General features: G+C 39.6%; 1 long non-coding RNA gene across 1 annotated transcript in view, besides 2 other annotated features; it reads left to right on the forward strand.

Annotated features, from left to right (window-relative positions):
* The window catches only part of LINC01933 (long intergenic non-protein coding RNA 1933), a 311,552-nt gene that overhangs the window by 76,553 nt on the left and 215,426 nt on the right, over positions 1–19,573 (forward strand). The gene's annotated exons all lie outside the window — the stretch shown is intronic.
* Positions 16,280–16,927: an enhancer, noted in NCBI's record as "NANOG-H3K27ac hESC enhancer chr5:151431291-151431938 (GRCh37/hg19 assembly coordinates)". NCBI's record gives its function as "activates a minimal SCP1, AML or CMV promoter by ChIP-STARR-seq in naive H9 embryonic stem cells {active_cell/tissue: H9 hESC(naive)}" and the evidence as "EXISTENCE:reporter gene assay evidence [ECO:0000049][PMID:30033119]".
* Positions 16,928–17,574: an enhancer, noted in NCBI's record as "NANOG-H3K27ac hESC enhancer chr5:151431939-151432585 (GRCh37/hg19 assembly coordinates)". NCBI's record gives its function as "activates a minimal SCP1, AML or CMV promoter by ChIP-STARR-seq in naive H9 embryonic stem cells {active_cell/tissue: H9 hESC(naive)}" and the evidence as "EXISTENCE:reporter gene assay evidence [ECO:0000049][PMID:30033119]".

A 19,573-nucleotide genomic window follows, 5' to 3' on the forward strand; every position in this document is an offset into this window, starting at 1 on the left:
AGCTCTTATTATTTTGAGATACATTCCATCGATACCTAGTCTATTGAGAGTTTTTAGCATGGAGGGGTGTTGAATTTTGTCAAAGGCCTTTTCTGCACCTATTGAGATAATCATGTGGTTTTTGTCATTGGTTCTGTTTATGTGACGCATTATGTTTATTGATTTGCATATGTTGAACCAGCCTTGCATCACAGGGATGAAGCCGACTTGATTGTGGTGGATAAGCTTTTTGATGCTTATCCATCAAAAAGCTGGATTCAGTTTGCCAGTGCTGCTGGATTCAGTTTGCCAGTATTTTACTGAGGATTTTGCATTGACGTTCATCAGGGATATTGGCCTGAAATTTTCCTTTTTTGTTGTGTTTCTGCCACATTTTGGTATCAGGATGATGCTGGCCTCATAAAATTTGTTAGGGAGGATTCCCTCTTTTTCCATTGTTTGGAATAGTTTCAGAAGGAATGGTACCAGCTCCTCTTTGTACCTCTGGTAGAATTCGGCTGTGAATCCCTCTGGTCCTGGGCTTTTTTGGTTGGTAGGCTATTAATTACCGCCTCAATTTCAGCACTTGTAATTGGTCTATTCCGGGATTCGACTTCTTCCTGGTTTAGACTTGGGAGGGTGTATATATCCAGGAATTTATCCATTTCTTCTAGATTTTCTAGTTTATTTGCATAGAAGTGTTTATAGTATCCTCTGATGGTATTTTTTATTTCTTTGGGATCAGTGGTGATATCCTCTTTATCATTTTTTATTGCTTCTATTTGATTCTTCTCTCTTCTTTATTAGTCTGGCTAGTAGTCTATCTATTTTGTTGATCTTTTCAAAAAACCAGCTCCTGGATTCATTGATTTTTTTGAAGGGTTTTTCGTGTCTCTGTCACCTTCAGTTCTGCTCTGATCTTAGTAATTTCTTGTCTTCTGCTAGCCTTTGAATTTGTTTGCTGTTCCTTCTCTAGTTCTTTTAATTGTGCTGTTTGGATGTCGATTTTAGATCTTCTCTGCTTTCTCTTGTGGGCATTTAGTGCTATAAATTTCCCTCTACACAGTGGTTTAAATGTGTCCCAGAGGTTCTGGTACATTGTGTCTTCATTCTCACTGGTTTCAAAGAACATCTTTATTTCTGCCTTAATTTCGTTATTTACCCAGTAGTCATTCAGGAGCAGGTTTTTCAGTTTCCATGTAGTTGTGCAGTTTTGAGTGAATTTCTTAATCTTGAGTTCTAATTTGATTACGCTGTGGTCTGAGAGACCGTTTGTTATGATTTCTGTTCTTTTGCATTTGCTGAGGAGTGTTTTACTTGCAATTATGTGGTCAATTTTCAAATAAGTACAGTGAGGTGCTGAGAAGAATGTATATTCTGTTGTTGATTTGGGGTGGAGAGTTCTGTAGAAATCTAGTAGGTCTGCTTAGGCTAGAGCTGAGTTCAAGTCCTAAATATACTTGTTAATTTTCTGTTTTGTTGATCTGTCTAATATTGACAGTGGGGTGTTAAAGTCTCTCACTACTATTTTGTTGGAGTCTAAGTCTCTTTGTAGGTCTCTAAGAACTTGCTTTATGAATCTGGGTGCTCATGTATTGGGTGCATATATATTTAAGATAGGTAGCTATTCTTGTTGCATTGATCCCTTTACCATTATGTAATGCCCTTCTTTGTCTTTTTTGATCTTTGTTGGTTTACAGTCTGTTTTATCAGTGATTAGGATGGTAACCCCTGCTTTTTTTTTTTTTGCTTTTCTTTTCCTTCGTAATTATTCCTCCATCCCTTTATTTTGAGTCTGTGTGTGTCTCTGCACGTGAGATGGGTCTCCTGAATACAGCACAATGATGGGTCTTGACTCTTTATCCAGTTTGCCAGTCTGTGTCTTTTAATTGGGGCTTTATCCCATTTACATTTAAGGTTAATATTGTTATGTGTGAATTTGATTCTGTCATTATGATGCTAGCTGGTTGTTTTGCCTGTTAGTTGATGCAGTTTCTTCATAGTGTTGATGCTCCTTACAATATGGTATGTTTTTGCAGTTGGCTGGTACTGGTTGTTCCTGTCCATGTTTAGTGCTTCCTTCAGGAGCTCTTGTAAGACAGGCCTGGTGTGACAAAATCTCTCAGTATTTGCTTGTCTGTAAAGGCTTTTATTTCTCCTTTGCTTATGTAGCTTAGTTTGGCTGGATATGAAATTCTGGGTTGAAAATTCTTTTCTTAAAGACTGTTGAATATTGGCCCCCACTCTCTTCTGGCTTGTAGGGTTTCTGCAGAGATATCTGCTGTTAGTCTAATGGGCTTCTGTTTGTGTATAACCCGACCTTTCTCTCTGGCTGAACTTAACATTTTTTCCTTCATTTAAACCTTGGTGAATCTTGACAATTTTGTGTCTTGGAGATGCTCTTCTCCAGGAGTATCTTTGTGGCGTTCTGTGTATTTCCTGAATTTGAATGTTGGCCTGTCTTGTTAGGTTGGGGAAGTTCTCTTGGATAATATCCTGAGGAGTTTTTTCCAACTTGGTTCCATTCTCCCCATCACTTTCAGGTACACCAATCAAACGTAGGTTTGGTCTTTTCACATATTCCCATATGTCTTGGAGGCTTTGTTTGTTCCTTTTCATTCTTTTTTATCTAATCTTGTCTTCTTGCTTTATTTCATTATCTTCAATCACTGATATCCTGTCTTCTGCTTGATTGATTCAGCTATTGATACTTATGTATTCTTCGTGAAGTTCTTGAGCTATGTTTTTCAGCTCCATCAGGTCATTTATATTCTTCTCTAAACTGGTTATTCTAGTTAGCAGTTCATCTAACCTTTTTTCAAGTTTCTTAGCTTCCTTTCATTGGGTTAGAACATGCTCCTTTAGCTCTGAGGAGTTTGTTATGACCCACCTTCTGAAGCCTACTTCTGTCAATTCGTCAAACTCATTCTCCATCCAGCTTGTTCCCTTGTTGGTGAGGAGTTGTGATCCTATGGAGGAGAAGAGGCATTCTAGTTTTTGGAATTTTCAGCCTTTTTGTACTGGTTTCTCTCCATCTTTGTGGATTTATCTACCTTTGGTCGTTGATGTTGGTGACCTTTGGATGGGGTTTCTTTGTGGACATGCTATGCCTTCTATTTGTTAGTTTTCCTTCTAATAGGCAGGCCCCTCTGCCTCAGGTATGCTGGAGTTTGCTGGAGGTCCACTCCTGACCCTGTTTGCCTGGGTATCACCAGCGGAGGCTGCAGAACAGCAAAGACTGCTGCCTGTTCTTTCCTCTGGAAGCTTTGTCCCAGAGGGGCACCTGCCAGATGCCAGCCAGAGCTCTCTTGTATGAGGTGTCTGTCAGCCCCTACTGGGAGGTATCTCCCAGTCAGGACACATGAGGGTCAGCAACCCTTAGCTGAGCTTGAACGCTGTGCTGGGAGGTCTGCTTCTGTCTTCAGGGTCATCAGGCAGGGACATTTAAGTCTGCTGAAGCTGCACCCACAGCCGCCCCTTCCCCCAGGTGCTCTGTCCCAGTATATGGGGGTTTTATCTATAAGTCCCTTACTGGGGCTGCTGCCTTTTTTTCAGAGATGCTTTGCCCAGAGTGTAGAAAACTGGCAGTCTGCCCACAGCAGCCTTGCTGAGGTGCAGTGGGCTCTGCCCAGTTCAAACTTCCTGGCTGCTTTGTTTACACTGTGAGTGTAAAACCACCTACTCAAGCCTCAGCAATGGTGGATGCCCCTCCCCACACCAAGCTCAAGCGTCCCAGGTGGATCTCAGACTGCTGCTGTGCTGGCAGTGAGAATTTCAAGCCAGTGGATTTTAGTTTGCTGGGCTCTGTGGTGGTAGGACCTGCCAAGTCAGACCACTTGGCTCCCTGGCTTCAGCACCCCTTTCCAGGGGAGTGAACGGTTCTGTCTCTCTGGCATTCCAGGTGCCACTGGGTTATGGAAAAAAAAAAAAAAAACTCCTGCAGCTAGTTTGGTGTCTGCCCAAATGGCCACCCAGTTTTGTGCTTAAAACCCAGGGCCCTGGTGGGGTAGGCACCATAGGGAATTTCCTGGTCTTGGGTTGCAAGGACCATGGGACCAGCACAGTATCTGAGCCAGACTGTGCACAGTTCCTCAGGCTCAGTCCTTCACAGCTTCCTTTGGGTAGGGGAGAAAATTCCTCGACCCCTTGTTCTTCCTGGGTGAAGTGATGCTCTGCCCTGCTTCGGCTTACCCTCTGTGGGCTGCACCCACTGTCCAACCAGTCCCAGTGAGATGAACCAGGTACCTCAGTTGGAAATGCAGAAATCACCCACTTTCTGCATCGATCTTACTGGGAGCTGCAGACCAGAGCTGTTCCTATTCAGCCATCTTGCCAGCAATCCATTTTTTTTTTCTTTTTAAAGGAGTTCTTTTCAGGACTCCAAGTTTAAGAGTTAAGAATGGCCCCTGGACTGATAGGGGTGAGTAAGAAATGTAGGGCCTTATTAATTGATCTCTATTCTCCAATAGGGGAATTTTCCTGGGAATTCTATGGTTCTATCAAACACAATCTGAAAAATGTAGGTTTCAGTTATCTGTTGCTTATTGTTTCTCATTGTTACATAGCCATCCGATTTTTAGTGGCTTAAAATAGTAATTTATTATTATCTCATATTCTTGTGTATTGACTGGATTCAGCTGAATAGTTTTTTCTTGAGGTCTCTCAAGGTTGCATCTGAGGTTAGAGTCATCTAGAGACTTCCTCACTCTTATAGTTTCTGACTGAACTAGGATGGCTGGAGGAACTGGGGATTTGATGGGTCATTGTGGGCCTTGACCTGGCCTCTCCATGTGGCTAGCTTGAGCTTACTCATAGTATGGCGTTCTCATCTTAAAGGGTAGCTGCCTGTCTCCATAGTGAGCATTCCAAGAGACTTAGATGGAGGCTTCCAGGCTTCTAGTGACCTATCCCTGTATATCACTCAATACTAATTTCACCATTTCTGCTTGTCAAAGAACTCATAAACAGTCCAAATTCAAGAGATGGAAAAATAGGTTCTACCTCTCAATGGGGAAATGTACAGGGAGGATAGGTATTGATGGCAGTCATTTTGAGAAAAGCTACCTCAGGTAGTATTAAGTCCAGAGAAGGTAAGGACTTATCCCTAGACCCCAGGGCCAAAAATGGCAGAGCCAAGATTTAAGCCAAAATTATAAAAAATAAAATCCACTTTCTAAGAAAGTCTCAATATCCAATCCTTCCACTTAGTACTGAAAATTAAAAATCTCACTCCACTGACTGTAGATCAAGCAGGCTTTGTATTGAAAATGTTATTATGATTGGCATGAATTTAGATTAAAAAAAAGTAACTAGATCCAATACCTAATAGGTAATGAGAGAACATCATTTATAATTTTATCAGCGAATGTCAAAGGCCTAGAAAGAAATCTAGCAAAATATATGTAAGACCTCTAAAGAGAAAATATAAACTGTAGGAAACAGCTATTAAGAAGACTTAAATAAATGCTGAGATATACCACATTCATGGATAGGAATTCTTAATATCATTGTTGATTCTTCTAAACCTGTTTTGTAGATTCAAAGAATTTCCAATAAAAATTCTAGCCATTTTTTCCCACACAGAACTTGATTAAGATAATTCTAACACCAACATGAGAGAGTAAAGGGCCAAGAATTGCCAGGACATTTCTGTAGAAGAGCAGAAAGATATGCAAAACAATGTTTTGCACTGTTAACAATGGCAAAAACCCGGAAATGGCCCAAATGCCCATCTGACGGAATGTATATGAATAAATGGTGGTATGTTCATAGAACTGAATGAATATAATTCATTGTTTACACAGTGGTCAAAGCCATGAAGTATAGAGAAATATGACAGTATAGATGAATCTTAGCAAGTTAATATTAAGGGAAAAAATAAGTGCTCACATTTTAATTCAGCTTGATAACCATTTTGTAAAATAACTATAATACTTTTAGAAGATTCTTATAAATATAGTTAAACTATGTAAAAAGGAAAACAAGAGACTTATGAACACAAGATTTAGGATGATGCTTATCTTAGCTGGAGAAAGATAGCAGAATGAGATGGGTTTCATATGGTTAGTTATTATAAAGTATCTTCTGTTTTGAGTGGTGGGTTGGCAATACTAAACACATTATTAAAGTTAACCAAATACATAAAGCAGGTCATGCTAGGGCCAATGAGGAGACCAAAATTATTATTAATTGAATTCTGTACATTTAAGGTCCAGCAAACAAACTCAACCCTGGTAAGTATTGTTCAACCTAGGTACTCTGCTATCTACGTTGTGGCAGGTAAACTGACCTTAGGCTAATTATGAGGTTAGGTAGGTTTATCTTTGTTGCTTTCCCATCAGCAGAGCTTGTGCTTACTTTGTCTATCTCAAATGGTGTAGAATGACTGACATTTGGAGTTGGCAGTGTCCTAATCCTCTAATTATACTCATTGATTTTTAAAGGGGAGAAAACTAAGGATAAGAGAATTTATGTGGCAATAGGATGCAATCAAACCAGGACAAGAACATACAATGTATTACTCCTTGTCTGATATCTTTGTTTTTTATATTAATCAAATTCTAAATTACTGAGGTACCATTGTACAATTAGGCCCTGTGAATTCTATGTATTTATCTGTAATAGATAATACATTTATTTATAAGTGTACTTTCTGAGACATCAAATTCCAGCATATCTCTAAAGGTATAATTGGAGTTTATCAATTCCTTCTCTCTCTCTCTCTACACACACACACACACACGCACACACACACACACAGATAAATTACTTATTTGAAAGTTTCAATAGCAACACTATCAAATATGATAGGGCCCATATTTATGCCCCTTCACCCCCGACCATATTGTAAAGCTGGTGGTAAAATTTAGGAGTACAAATGTTCCTTAGATATTATGTTTTTACCGGCCAGGCGCGGTGGCTCACGCCTGTAATCCCAGCACTTTGGGAGGCCAAGGTGGGTGGATCACCCGAGGTCAGAAATTCGAGACCAGCCTGACCAACATGGAGAAACCCCATCTCTACTAAAATACAAAGAAAAAAAAGATTATGTTTTTACCTTTTCTTCATTATATTCATTAAAACATAATAGTCATCTCCTAAAAAAGACAAGGCCAAAGTTTGTCAAATTTTGTGTTGCAGTGTTTTCATAGTTTATCTATTTTTCTTGGTTTCATCAGAATGGGAGAGGAGGAGTCAGGTTTACATTCACTGGGAAAAAACCCAAGAAATAATTTTCTCATTTTGTAACCAAAGCAGGCAATAAAAGAAGATATTTTGGTGTAGCCTGGGTGTCTTAGTCCCATTTAGGCTGCTATAACAAAATACCATGAATTGGGCCACTTATAAACAGAATATGTTCTCACAGTTCTGGAGGCTGGGAAATCCAAAATCAAGGCATCAGCAGATTGTCTGGTGAAGGCCTGCTTTCCAGATGGCTTTTGATTATAACCTCACATGGTGGAAGAGATGAGGGCCTCTCTGAGGTCTCTTTTGTAAGAGCACTAATAACCTCCCAAAGGCCCCATCTCCTAATACTATCATCTTGGGGGTTAGGATTTCAACACATGAATTTGGCAGAGACACAAACATTCAGACCATAGTACTGGATACAGCTATATTTAATTATGGGAAGGATGACGGACTGACTGAATGGAATGGACAGTTTTATACGTCAGCTTGATTAGGCTATAGTACTCACTTGTTAATCTAATACTAATTTAGGTGTTACTGTGAATGTATTTTGCAGGTGGGGTTAATAGCTACAATCAGTTGACTTTAAGTGCAAGAGATTACCCTCAACAATGTGTATGGGCATTATTCAATCAGTTAAAGGACTGTAGGAACAAATCCTGAATTTTTCTGGAAAGGAGGAACCTTTGCTTCACAACTACATCAACTCCTGCCTGAGTTTTCAGTCTGCTGACCTGCCCTACATTTAATTTAAGACCCACCAGCCCCAACAATTGCATGAGCCAATTCCTGAAAATAAATCTCTTTATGTATGTATCACTTATACAAACATTCACACATACGTTAACATACATACATATATATGTGTACGTACATACTTATGCCCCCTATTGGTTCAGTTTCTCTGGAGATTCCTCACTGATATTCTTGCCTCATGAAGTGAAAGAGTACTGGGGAATTGGAGTTGTTCTGGTTTTCCCATTAACCAGTAAGGTGAACTCAAACAGTCTACGGGCTTCTTGAGAGCAAGGACTACATTTTCCTTACTGATATTTCTCTGACATCTACATAGCTCCTAGTGCACATTAGGTGCTCAGTAAGTATTTGATGAGTGAATGAATAGATGAATAGTCTGCCTTTTCCTTGGGCTCAGTTGTCTTTTCTAGAAAAGAAGGAGGTTGATCTAACTACATTCCCTTAGGCTCTTCCAGAAATGTAGAGTAGCAATTAAGAAATTCAGGTCTGGATTCAGGCACAATGGGTTTGAATCCCAGCCATGCCACTTAATAGCTATATGACTTTGGGTAATTTAGTTTAACCAATCAGTATGGGTATTCCCACCAAACATTACCTCATTTAATCCTTACCACAAGTCTAAATGATATATATATAGTGTTTATTCTCCTTGGAACTCACCCTGCTCTGACCCAATATACTTCAACTCTTCTGTGGGCAAAGCAGGTGGACGGACATGCATGTGTGATTCTGTTCCACACAGCAAAGACATCAATGCCTCCTCCTGTTCTCCTGGCTAATCTGAGCTACAGCCACATGTGCTGCCAGAGGCATTTGGCAGACTAACCCAATGTTCAGTTAGGTGTGTAAAGAGTAAGTCAGTAGCTCAATGGGGCAACATAATTAGTTCAAATATGTGGGCCCAGTCCTCATAGATATCGTGCCCTGAGCAGTGGGATTTGGTGTTAAATGGAGTTGGAGACATGCTGGGTCACAAACAGAAGCTACACGTCAGGCTTGATTTCTGGTCTGTGAAATGGGAGTCGAGTGGGCAAGGAGCCCCCAGGATTTTCCATGAGGAGGCACTGAGCACTATTCCAAGGGGAGAACCATAAGATCTGTCTGGGTTTAATGCTAAGTCAGAAACCAGAGTGGAAGCCCTATCCAAAATTCATCCAATGTCTGCGGTTATTTCAGACAGCTGCATGCTCTGTATCACATTGTTCCATTTTACTGTCATCACATCACCTAACCTCACTGGACATTATTTTGTTCATTTACTCACTTACTTATTTACTCTCTGTCTCACTGACCAGACTTAAGCATCTGAGAATAAGAACCTTACATTTTTTGTTCACTGTTGGATCATCAGCTTCTAGAATAGTTGATTTGATATATACTTGTCAAATGAATGAATGAAAAAATCCTTTCTCTTAGGGACATCTGAAAAGCACCAGGCAACTAGCAGAGATGTAAATTAGTTTTGTTCTTTTTTTTTTGGCCACTGACCGAACACCTTTCAAGATCATGATATTATAAGGGAAAAGGAAAGTTGGATTAAAAGTAACTATGCACTCCCTCCATTGCCCATCTAAGCTTCAATACACTATAATTTGTTTTCTTAAAGCTCCCTTCTAATCCTAGTCAATTATTTTTCATGCTTAAAGTTACAAGTGGCCAGGATACATCTGTGTGGAGTTATGAATGGTTACAGAGAGTGGTGAGGGAAAAGAGGGTTAAACTGGTCAATTATTAATTTAAAAATGAGTATGAATGGTTTTATTTAGACTACCTTTTCCTTCTGCAATAACTGGGAGTACAAACCAACCAACCCTGACTTTAGAGTTAGAATTGGGGCTCTAGCCTTGGCTCTGTTACTCTTGGATGACCTTGAGAAGGTTGCTCTACCCCTCTAGATTTTGGTTTATGTTCATTCCTCAGCTATAAGTTGAGCACTTACTAGGTAATGGTTGCCAATCTAGGTAACGGAGATACATTTGTGTGGAGTCAACAAAACAACCTGGAGTCTTTACCCTCATTAAGTTTACCTGGCCAGAGTTGGGGGTGGGTGTAATAGACAGTAAAAATGGAAACTAAGGTAAGAAAATTACGATAGTGATAAGTGCAATAGAATAAAAAGAGCTAGACAGGCACACAAAGGTAAAGGAAAATGTGAACTGAGCAGGATGGGGCATTTCTCTTTTTGGAATCAACATAAAAATTCAGAGACTTGAGTGACACATAGTTAGTTACAAGGATTGAAAGAAGATCTCTCCAGGCAAGTTCAAAGCTTTGAAAGAAGAATGAGTTTCATTGATTTGAGGACCAAAATGGCGTCCAGTATGGCTGGCTGGTGCTTAGTGAATAGAAGAGAAAGCAGGAGATAAAGTTGACTGGGCCAGATCATGTAAAGCCTGCAGACAAGGTATCTGAATTGTTTTCTAGTGCAATGGGAAGTTAATCCATCTTTTCTTGCTAATTGATTACTCCTTTTAACCTATATCTCTTAACTTTGGAGTATCCCAGGGTCTGTGGATCCCTCTCGTCTTATTTCTACCAAAGATCACACCCCAGGTGATCTCATCCAGTCCCCTGACTTTAAATACCATCTATATGCTGATAATTCCCAGATTTATACCCATAGAGCAACTTCTGCATTCTAGACCTGTGTATACAACTGCCTACTCAATGCTTTTACTTCATGTCTAAAAGGAAACTCAAACTTTACATGCAAAAGTGAACCTCCTTCTGTCCCTACAAATCTACCTCCCCAGCAGTCTCCCCTGTCTTTGGGAAGGATGAGTCCATCTATTTAGTTTTTTTGAGCCAAAATACCTGGAGTCATTCTTGATGCCTCAGTTCCCAGACATCCACTCTGTCTGCAAACTCTGTGGGTTCTGTCTTCAAATTATGTCTGGGGTCTGATTACCCATCACTTGCCACGAAGTTATTCCTTAGTTCAAACCCCATCATCTCTTGTTTGGATTATTGCACTAACCTCTCACCTTTTCTTCCTGCTTTAACTTCCTTCACTCTATTATCAGCATAGCAACCAGAGTGTTCCTTTACAAATGTAAGTCAGATCATGCTGGCTTTTAATCTATGTTTTAATCAGTACAGTCCAAGGTCTTCTCATCTCACTCAGAGCAAAGGCCAAGCCCTCACAATGTCTTACCTGGCGTTTCCTTGCTGTTTCTTGAACATGCCAGGCATGCTTCTGCTTCCAGGCCCTTGCCCTGGCTGTTTCCTCAGTCTAAAGAGCTTTCCCCAGATATTCACATGGCTCATTCCCTTACTTGCTCAATTCGTTGCTCAAACACAACCTTCTGCTTGAGACTGTTCCTGACTGCCCATATAAAAATTGCACCCCCGGCACTAGCCACTTTGTTTATCGTCAGCATCCCTAAGTAGGACGTATACTCCCCAAGGTCAGGCATTTTTGTTTGGTTTCTTCGCTGCTATATTTCTAACAGCTAGAACAGTGCCTAGCACATAAGGCAGCTCCATAAATGCTGAATGTTGACAAATGAGAAGGTTTCAAACAGGGGAATGATATGACATATTTTATGAAGATTGTTTGGCTATATATGATGTGTGGACTGCAGGGGAGAATGGGAGGGAGCACAGACATCCCTTAACGGCTGTTGTGGTAGTTAAGGAGTGAGATGATAGTAGCATATTCTAAGATGTTATGGGGAAGCTGCTGAGAAATAGCTAGGTTTGGAATATACAGTTGGCCCCCTGTATCCATGGGTTCTGCATCCGTGGATTCAACCAATCACACATTGAAAATATTCAGAAAAAAATTGTGTCTCTACTGACAAACTTGTTATTATTTTTTGGTCATTATTCTCTAAACATAGTATAACAACTATTTACATGGCATCTACATTGTACTAAGTATTAGAAGTAGTCTAGAGGTAATTTAAAGTATCTGGGAGGATGTGCTTAGGTTATATGCAAATACTATTTTATTTTTATTATTTTAATAGGTTTTTGGGGAACAGGTGGTGTTTGGTTACGTGGCTAAGTTCTTCAGTGGTAATTTCCAAGATTTTGATGCATCTATCACCTAAGCAGTGTGTACTGTACCCAATGTGTAGTCTTTTATCCCTCACTCTCCACCCACCCTTTCCTCCACATCCCCAAAATCCATTCATTGTATCATTCTTATGCCTTTGCATCCTCATAGCTTAGCTCCCACTTATGAGTGAGAACATATGATGTTTGGTTTTCCATTCTTGAGTTACTTCACTTAGAATAATGGTTTCCAACTCCATCTACGTTGCTGCAAATGCCATTATTTTGTTCCTTTTTATGGCTGAGTAGTATATCATGGTGTGTGTGTGTATGTATATGTATGTGTGTGTGTGTGTGTGTGTGTATCACATTTTCCTTATCCACTTGTTGATTGATAGACATATGAGCTGGTTCCATAGTTTTGGAATTACAAATTATGCAACTATAAACATGTGTATCCAAGTATCTTTTTCGTGCAATGACTTCTTTGCCTTTGGTTAGATACTCAGTAGTGAGATTGCTGGAACAAATGGTATATCTACTTTTAGTTCTTCAAGAAATCTCCACACTGTTTTCTATAGTGGTTGTACCACTTTACATTCCCATCAACAGTGTAAAAGTGTTCCCTTTTCACCACATCCACGCCCACATCTATTATTTTTTGATTTTTTCATTATGGCCATTCTTGCAGGAGTAAGGTGGTATCACATTGTGGTTTGATTTGCAGTTCCCTGATCATTAGCAATGCTGAGCATTTTTTCATATGTATGTTGGCCATTTGTATATCTTCTTTTGCGAACTGTTTATTCAGGTCCTTAGCCCACTTTTTGATGGGATTATTTGTTTTTTCTTGCTGTTTTGTTTGAGTTCTTTGTAGGTTCTGGATAATAGTCCTTTCTCAGATGCATAGTTTGCGAAGGTTTACTCCCACTCTGTGGGGTGTCTGTTTACTCTGCTGACTGTTCTTTTGCTGTGCAAAAGCTCTTTAGTTTAATTAAATCCCACCTATTTATCTTTTTTTTTTGTTGCATTTGCTTTTGGGTTCTGGGTCAAGAAGTCTTTGCGTAAGCTGATATCTAGAAGGGTTTTTCCAATGTTATCTTCTAGGATTTTTATGGTTTCAGGTCTTAGATTTTAGTCTTTGATCCATCTTGAGTTGACTTTTTTTTATATAAGGTGAGAGATGAGGATCCAGTTTCATTCTTCTACATGTGGCTAGCCAATTATCCCAGCACCATTTGGTAAATAGGTTTTCCTTTCCCCAACTTATGTTTTTGTTTGCTTTGTCAAAGATCAGTTAGCTGTAAGTATTTGAGTTTATTTCTGGGTTCTCTATTCTGTTCCATGGGTCTGTGTGCCTATTTTTTATACCAGTGTCATGCTGTTTTGGTGACTATAGCCTTATAGTATAGTTTGAAGTCAGGTAGTGTGATGGCTCCAGATTTGTTCTTTTTGCTTAGTCTTGCTTTGGCTATGTGGGCTCTGCTTTTGTTTCATATGAATTGTAGGATTGTTTTTTCTAGTTCTGTGAAGAATGATGGTGGTATTTTGATGATAATTGCATTGGATTTGTACATTGTTTTTGGCAATATGGTCATTTTCACAATATTGATTCTACCCATCCATGAGCATAGGATGTCTTTCCATTTGTTTGTGTCATCGATGATTTTTTTCAACAGTGTTTTGTAGTTTTCTTTGTAGAGGACTTTTACCTCCTTGGTTAGGTATATTCCTAAGTGTTTTATTTTATTTTTTTTTTGCAGCTGTTGTGAAAGGGGTTGAGTTCTTGATTAGATTCTCAGCTTGGTCTCTGTTGGTGGATAGCAGTGCTACTGATTTGTGTACATTAATTTTGTATCCAGAAACTTTACTGCATTCATTTATCAGATCTATTAATAGAAGCTTCTTGGATGAGTCTTTAGGATTTTCTAGGTATATGATCATAGCATTGGCAAACAGTGACAGGTTGACTTCCTCTTTACCAATTTGAATGACCTTTATTTCTTTCTCGTGTCTGATTGCTCTGGTTAGGACTTCCAGTACTATGTTGAATAGAAGTGGTAAAAGTGGGCATCTTTATCTTGTTCCCATTCTCAGGGAGAATGCTTTCAACTGTTCCCCATTCAGTATAATGTTGCCTGTGGGATTGTCATAAATGGCTTTTATTATTTATGGTATGTCCCTTGTATGCCAATTTTGCTGAGTTTTAATCATAAAGGGATGCTGGATTTTGTCAAATGCTTTTCCTGCATCTATTGAGATGATCATGTGATTTTTATTTTTAATTCTGTTTATGTAGTGTATGACATTTATTAATTTGCTTACATTAAACTATCCCTGCATTCTTGGTATGAAACCCACTTGATCATGGTGGATTATCTTTTTGATATACTGTTGGGTTCAGTAAGCTAGTATTTTTGTTGAGGATTTTTACATCTATGTTCATCAGGGATATTGATCTGTAGTTTTCTTTCTTGTTATGCCCATTTCTGGTTTTGCTATTAGGGTGATACTGCCTTCACAGAATGATTTAGGGAGGATTCTCTTTCTCTACCTTTGGAAATAGTGTCAATAGGATTGGTACAGATTCTTCTATGAATGTCTGATAGAATTCACCTATGAAGACATCTGGTCTTGGACTTTTTTTTCTTGGTAATTATTTTTATTACCATTCAATGTTGCTGCTTGTTATTGGTCTGTTCAGAGTTTCTTTTTCTTCCTGGTTTAATCTAGGAGGGTTGTATATCTCCAGAAATTTATTCATCTCCTCTAGGTTTTCTAGTTTGTGTGCATAAAGGTATTCATAGTAGTCTTGAATGATCTTTTGTATTTCTTTGCTATCAGTTGTAATATCTCTTGTTTCATTTCTAATTTGAGCTTATTTGGATCTTCTCTCTTCTTTTCTTGGTTAATTTCACTAATAGTCTATCAATTTTATCTTTTCAAAGAACCAGCTTTTTGTTTCATTTATCTTTCATATTTTGTTTCAATTTCATTTAGTCCTGCTCTGTTCTTTGTTATTTCTTTTCTTCTTCTGGGTTTGGGTTTGCTTTGTTCTTATTTCTCTAGTTTCTTGAGGTGTGACCTTAGATTGTTCATTTGTGCTTTTTCAAAAATTTTTATGTAGGCATTCAATGCTATGAACTTTCCTCTTAGCACTGCTTTTGCTGTATCTCAGAGGTTTTGATAGGTTTTATCACTATTATTGTTCAGTTCAAATAATTATTAAATTTCCACCTTGATTTTATTGACCCAATGATCATTCAGGAGGAAGATATTTAATTTCTATGTATTTGCATGGTTTTGAGGGTTCTTTTTGGAGTTGATTTCCAATTTTATTCCACTGTGGTCTCAGAGAGTACTTGATATAATTTTGATTTTCTTAAATTTATTGAGACTTGTTTTGTGGCCTATCATATGGTCTATCTTGGAGAATGTTCTAAGTGCTAATGAATAGATTCTATGTTCTGCAGTTGTTGGGTAGAATGTTCTGTAAATATCTGGTAAGTCTGTTTGTTCTAGGGTATAGTTTAAGTCCATTGTTTCTTTGTTGAGTTTCTGTCTTGATTTCCTGTCTAGTGCTGTCAGTGGAGTATTGAAGTCCCCCACTATTGTGTTGCCATCTATCTCATTTCTTAGGTCTAGTAGTAATTGTTTTATAAACTTGTGAGCACCAGTGTTAGGTGCATATATATTCAGGATTGTTATATTTTCCTGTTGGACTAGTCCTTGTATCATTATATAATGTCCCTCTTTGTCTTTTTTAACTGTTGTTGCTTTAAAGTCTGTTTTGTCTAATGATAGCTACTCCTGCTTGCTTTTGGTGTTCATTTACATGGAATATCTTTTTCTACCCCTTTACCTTAAGTTTATGTGAGTCTTTATGTGTCAGGTGAGTTTCTTGAAGACAGCAGATACTTGGTAGGTGAATTCTTATCCATTCTTCCATTCTGTATCTTTTAAGTGGAGCGTTTAGGCCATTTACCCTCATCGTTAGTATTGAGATATGAGGTACTATTCTGTTTATCATGTTAGTTGTTGCCTGAATAACTTGGGTCTTTTTTTTTTTTTCATTTTGTTATTGTTTTACAGGTCCTGTAAGATTTGTGCTTTAAGGAGGTTTTATTTTGGTGTATTTCAAGCATTTGTTTCAAGATTTAGAGTTCCTTTTAGCAGTGCCTGTAGTACTGGTGTGGTAGTTGGTGAATTCTCTCAGCATTTGTTTGTCTGAAAAGGACTGTATCTTTCCTTTATTTATGAAGCTTAATTTTGCTGGATACAAAATTCTTGGCTGATAATCATTTTGTTTAAAGAGGCAAAATATAAGACACCAATCCCTTCTAGCTTGTAGAGTTTCTGCTGAGAAATCTGATGTTAATTTGATAGATTTTCCTTTGTAGGTTACCTGATGCTTTTGCTTGAATAAGTACTTCGGTTTCTTAGGTGGTAGGTGGGACCATAGAGGCTCACAAGAGATTGTGTCCTTTGTCTTTGGCTACTTGGGGCTGGTAGAGAAAGACCATCAGGTAGAAGCAGGGTTAGGCATGTCTGAGCTCAGACTTTCCTTGGGCGGCACTTGCTGTGGCTGCTGTTGTGGATCGGGAGGTAGTTCTCAGGCTGATGGAGTTACATTCCCAGGGGGATTATGGCTGCATCACACAGGTCACCAGGGAAGTAGGGGAAAGCCGACAGTGACAGGCCTCACCCAGCTCCCATGCAGCCTAAAAGGCTAGTCTCATTCGCACTGTGCCACAACCCCCCCGCCCCCCACACGCCCGTCCCCACCCCTGCCCCAACAGCACTGAGTTCCACCCCCAACAACAGCACTGAGTTTATTTCCAGGCAATCAGTGAGCAGGGCTGAGAACTTGCCCTCAAGCTACAAGCCTCCCTGCTGAGAAAGCAAGCAGGGCTTTCAGATTTTACGCCTCCCTGCCTGTGGTAGCTTCTGTGCTGGTATCTGCACTCCTGGTTTGCCTCCTGCCCTGGATTCTGTCCGGGGAATCTTTGCATTTGGTCAAAATTGTTACAAAGTTCAGCTGGAAGTTTTCTTCTCCCTGTGGTCTTTCCCCAGTTCCACTGGCAGCCCTCCCCAAGCAACTGTGAGAGACAGTCAGGAATGGCTTTTCTGGGGACTGAGAGCGCCCACAGGGCTTTTACTGCTGCTTCCTCTACCCCTATATTTTGCTCAGTTCTCTAAATTCATCTCACCTCCACATAAGGTCAAATGCTTCTCCTGTCATCTGGACCTTCAGGTTCCCCATTGAGGATGTGTGTTCGAGGGCAGACATTCCTCCTCTCACACTCTGGGCACTCACAGTGTTTTGGCTGTCTCACCGAGCTTGCAGTGGCACACCCCTTCCTTCAGAGGGTCTGTGGATTCTCTCAGCTTTCCTGGTATGTTCCCACAGTAGTTCTTGGAGCAAAAGTTTACAATGTGAGTCTACACACACTGTTCTGTCTGTCTGAGTGGGAGCTTCAAGTTAGTCCTGCCTTTTGTCTGCCATTTTTATTTTTATTTTTTTGAAACAGTGTCTTGCTGTGTCACCCAGGCTGGAGTGCAGTGGCATAATCACAGCTCACTACAGCCTTGGCCTTCCAGGGTCAAGTGATCCTCCTACTTCAGCCTCTCGAGTAGCTGGGACTAGAGGAGTGCGCAATAATGCTTGGCTTGGTTTTGCCATGTTGCCCAGGCTGGTCCCAAACTCCTGAGCTCAAGTCACCTGCCCGCCTCAGCCTCCCAAAGTGCTAGGGTTACAGGCTTGAGCCACCTCACCCGACCTCTCTGCCATTTTATATCAAGGCCTTGAGCATCTGTGGATTGGATTTTATATCTGAGGGAGGTCCTAGAACCAATCCCCTGTGGTTACTGAGGGAAGGCTCCATTTTGACAGAACTGACAAGACTGGCTGATGGATTAAATGTAGATTGATAATGAGGAATCAAGAATGAATTTTAGATTTTTTTAATCTAAACAATTAGACAGATGATGGTATCATTATTTAAGATGAGGAAAATGGGGGGTGGGCTGGCTTTTATTTATTCATTTGTTTGAAGGTAGATTTAAGATTTCTTTGGGGGCATATTCAGGGTCCTTTGAAGTATTTATTTATTTTGGATTAAACACCTAGACTAGGCAAAAAGTTGGATATGTAAATCTAGAGCTCATGGGTGAGGTCTGGGCTGCAAATATAAATTTGGTAATATTAACATGTCTGAAATAAAGGAAATTAGATGAGTATGTCATCCTCTGCTCTGGAGTTTATGTTCTTAGGAGTAAAGGTGGAGGAATGGGGGCAAAGGATACCCAAGTAAAAAGTAAAGTGACAGAGAAGTGACATTATTAATCAGGGACCTATCTATAGAGCACTCACAATGTATGCACCGTGCTTGGTGCTGGTATTCCTGCGGTAAAAAAGATGAATGCAATCCTTCCCCTGAGGGAACTTACCAGTTATAAAGCAGTCTACTTCTATTACAAAAGCTAATAGGATTATAAGGGAAAGAAAGCTCTATTGTTTATTTTGATAGAATGAGTGGATTTTTCCCCACCCTCCTGTGTTTGAGAATCCTAATTATTAAGTTTGGAGTGGGTCCCAAATTTAACTTGGTATAGATGCATGTGAATATACAATAATTATAGCCAGGGTGAGGGTTGCATTCAAGTAAATGGTACAAAATCCTTAAGCTATCCAGGTCTCCCTTTGGTCGAGGTCATGGTATGGAGCAATTGTCCATTATTTCTAATTCTCTGTGGATAAAGAAGAAATAAACATTTATTGAGCTCTTAGTGTGTGTTATGTACTTAATACCATTTACCTACATTAATTGAGCCCTCCCTGTAATGTATGAGGTAGGTGGCATTATCCCTATTTTGCAGGCCAGAAAACTGAGGCCAAGGAGGGTTAATAAATGTTCTAATGTCAAAAAGTGAGGCACTGGCAGATCCAGTACTCACCCTGAGGTCTGATGTAATTTCATGCTCTTTCAACTCTAAAGCCTAAAGGAACACAAAATAAACTTAGTATTTCTTTCACATTATAGTACATACTTAAATTCATCTTTTCCTTCCCAGTCTGCTTTTCCTTGGGCTAAACAACTTCAGTTCTTTCAAATAATCTACGTGTTACATATTAACTGTTACAGTGCTTGGCATAGTACCTGGCACACAGTCAGTGCCTTACAATTGCTAGTGAATATGATTCTGCCATGTGGCAGCTAAAGAAACTGAGTCTTACAGAAGCAAAGGGGCTTATCCAGTGTCTTACACCTAATCATCTGCTCTGCTTCCAAGTTCTAGCCACATTTTACTTCTATCAGTTTTTGTTTCTTGAATGCAGTTCAACTAGAATAAGGCCATCCTTTTCCCCTCCTATATTTAGGCCTCTATACTCCTTTTAATATGGTTTCAATTGACTTGGCCTTCAGGGAACTCTCCTTGTACCCAAGGGTGTGTCTTCTCCTTTGGTTTAGTGCAGCAGTTTGTTTATTCATTCACTTTCTGAAACTGGAGCTGGCTGGCTGGCAGAATTTAATCAGAAGATTGTGTAACCATGGCAAGAAGCTGCCCAAATCCATAACTATAACGAGAGAGTGGGAGACAGGAGAATTGGATTAAAAGGCAGCTCGCTTTACAAAGAAGGAATCTT

This window comes from Homo sapiens, chromosome 5, assembly GCF_000001405.40.
Source record: "Homo sapiens chromosome 5, GRCh38.p14 Primary Assembly".
In the NCBI taxonomy this organism is placed as follows: domain Eukaryota; kingdom Metazoa; phylum Chordata; class Mammalia; order Primates; family Hominidae; genus Homo; species Homo sapiens.